This window comes from Homo sapiens (assembly GCF_000001405.40).
Source record: "Homo sapiens chromosome 17 unlocalized genomic scaffold, GRCh38.p14 Primary Assembly HSCHR17_RANDOM_CTG3".
NCBI lineage: Eukaryota > Metazoa > Chordata > Mammalia > Primates > Hominidae > Homo > Homo sapiens.
The window spans coordinates 145,001-148,260 of record NT_113930.2 but is presented as its reverse complement, the minus strand read 5'-3'; the positions used below and the strand labels follow the sequence as shown (position 1 = coordinate 148,260).

Below are 3,260 nucleotides of genomic sequence, written 5' to 3'. Positions count from 1 at the left end.
CAGCCCTCTCAGGCAGCTTGAAGGCTGTTGGGGCTCTTTCCAGGCCTTCTAGCCTTATGCTTTTTGGCAGGCCACTTAGGCACCTTTTTCCAGCCTCTGAGACTTCCATGTTCTGGAAGGAGAGGGTCCCACTTTTCACTAGGCTATGGGGCAGGCCCATCCAGCTCCCAGCTGCCACTAACAACCATGGGGCTCTCACCTGGGCACCCACTGCCCAAACATGGCCCTTCTAAGGCAGAAGATCATGTGTCTTGCAGTTTCAGCTTGCTAGGGCTTAAAAGTTATCAGTGCTGTTATTAAGATAGGGAAGTGAGAAAGGAAAACTTGCTGTAAAAGTTTCCCATAATCTTACCACGGAGATCATCAGCACAGATGACAGCACAGGTGGGGCTGCTGGGGAGGCTGAGGGAGAGTGTCCAGCCTGTTCTGCCAGCTGGTCCTTGCCAGGGGTGTCTCGTGACCCAGTCCCTTAGAGAAGCATGCAGATATCTTAGCAAGTATCTGGAAGGTGCAGATCAGGGCAACCCAGCACCACTGATGGTGGAGTGGGCCTACCTCCCATCAAGCTGTGTCTCCACAGCTGACCCTTGAAGCCAGGAGGTGATTTACAACATGTGCAAGGCAGTGAGCTCCATCAGCTGTGTGGCCTTCAACATTCACTTCAACTCGGACATCTCACCAGAAAGCAGTGGGGACTGGCCAATGCAGAAGCCTGCAAAGTGGAACAGAGCGTCATGGGGTGGGGGATGTGGGGCCTGCCTGCTCATCTGAGCACTGCTCCCTGAGGGTGTGATCTGCAGGCTTCCTGAAGGAGGGCTGTGAGCTCATCTGCGAGGCCCTGAGCCTGTGGAACATGGCTGAGGCCAAGCCCATGGGGATTTGTGTCTACTTGCACCTCCTTGCTCATCTCAGTACACTACAGGTGACTGTGCCGAGGTGGGCCTTGAGCATCCCCTGGGCTGTGTTAGCAAGGGGCTCTGGGCCTGGCCTGGCATTGAGGGATGGCAAATAAGGGGCCTGGGGTTGCATTGTCACCCCCTATGGTAGCATAAAATGAGAGAGTCCGACCTGCAGGACTGGAACCCTATCAAGGGGGTTAGGAGGCTGCTCACTTTCCCTCAGGAACCCATGTGGAGGAGCTGAGGGAGGTTAAGGAGACCCTAGGGACTCACTTGTTCTGTCTGGGCTTCCCTCTGCTCCATCGTTTGATGACCATTTTCTGGGAAGAGCTCAGGAACCTCCTGTGCTCTAGTGAGATGGGGCCTCCCCTCACAGGGTATTCTGAGACTGTGAGTGAGAAGCTAACACAGTGCCTTGCAATACTCACGGGAGCTGTCATCCTCTGTGACCATCACGTGGCCTTGTAGTGTTCAGACTGCCTGGCCTGCCTGGGGTTTGGTGAGGCTGTTTTCTGGTCAGCTGCTTTAGAATCTCACTTTCTCTGCAATCAAACAGTGACTGTCTTTGTGTCTGTTTATGGGTTTAAAAAATCCTAATATTTCATTTATAGTAGTTTCAGCTTGCATGTGTTTATTTGTATAAATTTTATTAGAATAAAGAAAGCTTAAGACAACAGCATTTTAAGGTCTTAATGAGGCATAGACTTTCATATCACAACAGCTATTGTTGACCTCTGTTTGCTACCTTTATGTAATGTATACACATAAAGTACAGCCAGAGGTGACTAGAGCTGAGCTTCTTGGGCTTGCTTGCTGGCCTGCAGTCAGGTGGACTCTGGCTGTGAGGCGGTGCCCACCCTGGATCTACATCCCCCACCCTCTCTCCTTAGTCCCTGAGTAACCAACAAGGCCGTGCTAATGAGCGGGCAAGTGATGGGCATCGGGTACCCCAATACTATCTGGGAAGATTTGAATGCCATCTGGGCTGGAGCTGTTGGGATTAGGGTCTGTGGCTGCCTTGGCTTGTCATGGTGCCACCCACAGATGTGCCTGCCCTGTGCTGCTTCTCCAGCAACCGGCTGCCCATGGCCCTGAGCCTGTCACACCATTCTTGCTACCTCATACTGCTTGTGTTTGAAAAACCCATCCAGAGATGGCATTGCTGGATGTGAGTGCTGAAAAGGGGGCAGCACCTTTGTCCTGGGGGATTAGGAGCTGACCAGATTCCTCCTGACTCCCTCCCAGAACAAGTGGGTCAGGTGCTGCAATTAATGATGCCCCCCAGAAGATGTGTTTACACTGGCTGAGCAAATACACTATGCAGAATCCTAAATGAAGACACGTGAATGGGGTGTATGGACATCAGTTAGCAACTGGGAAACAGGTGCCTCTCAGGTCTCTCGTGCTCCAGCAAGTGTGGAATATGCCTGTGCCCATGAGTGTAGACATCTGGAGTGTATACATTTGGCTGCTGCTTTTGCTGCCACTATCCCCAGGTCCAACCTGGCTTAAAGTCCAGGTTTTAAGTAAAAAAATGGGAGGCTTTTTGCCATACAGCTACTTGAGAGGCTGAGGTGAAAGCATCACTGGAGCCTAAGAGTTTGAGGCTGCAGTGACCCATGATTCAGCCACTGCACTGACACAGTGAGACCTGCGTGTGCCTTTCTACAGAGAATACCTCTGGGGCATTTGGGGATCCCTACAGTCCGGGACATCTCCCTGTCCCCTGTGGCCTGTGCTTCTTCCCTTGCCTGCTGTCAGAGCCTAACATGGAGGAGGAGGTTGCTGCCCTGTGAGCCTGAGGGAGCTGTGTCTGACTGGGGCTTCTGTCTGGGGTTTTGCGAAGAGCTACTTATGAATATGGTCTGTCCAGATACCTTGTTTCAAAGGAAGTGAGCATGAGCTAGCAAGTGTAGCCACCCCACAGCTGATAAACAACTTTGTCTTGTTTTTAAATCATCAGTCTTCATTTCACATTGGAATAAAGTAATTGAAACATGCTACCCCAGCCTCGCCCGTGTGTTCTGTAAGCCAGACTCATTTCGTTGTGTGGGCTGTTGTCAGAAATGTTATAAAAAAATTATGCATAAATAAGATCAAATGTAAAAGTATGCTTATAATGTCACTTGAGTGGGTGGTAAGAGGGTAGAGTCACAGGAAATCTGTTGGGGTTTACACCCCTGCTACTTACCAAGCTCATGAGAGTGTGGCAGAGGTGATCATCACCTGATATTTGTGGCAGAAGAGAAAAGTCCAGCGTGAAGGCCAGGTAGGGGAGACGTGCCAGGCTGTGGGGCCAGGCCCTGCACATGCTGGGCCTGTTATGTCACTGAACATCTAACTGCCCAGGAAACGGCTCTT

General features: G+C 51.2%; 1 long non-coding RNA gene across 1 annotated transcript; it reads right to left on the bottom strand.

Annotated features, from left to right (window-relative positions):
• Positions 1-370: 370 nt before the first annotated feature.
• LOC105379281 (uncharacterized) lies at positions 371-1,411 on the bottom strand. Its single transcript, XR_949115.3, has 3 exons — positions 1,328-1,411; positions 556-712; positions 371-468 (listed from the first exon to the last, which is right to left on the bottom strand). It is a non-coding gene; the product is annotated as an uncharacterized LOC105379281 (long non-coding RNA).
• Positions 1,412-3,260: the final 1,849 nt, after the last annotated feature.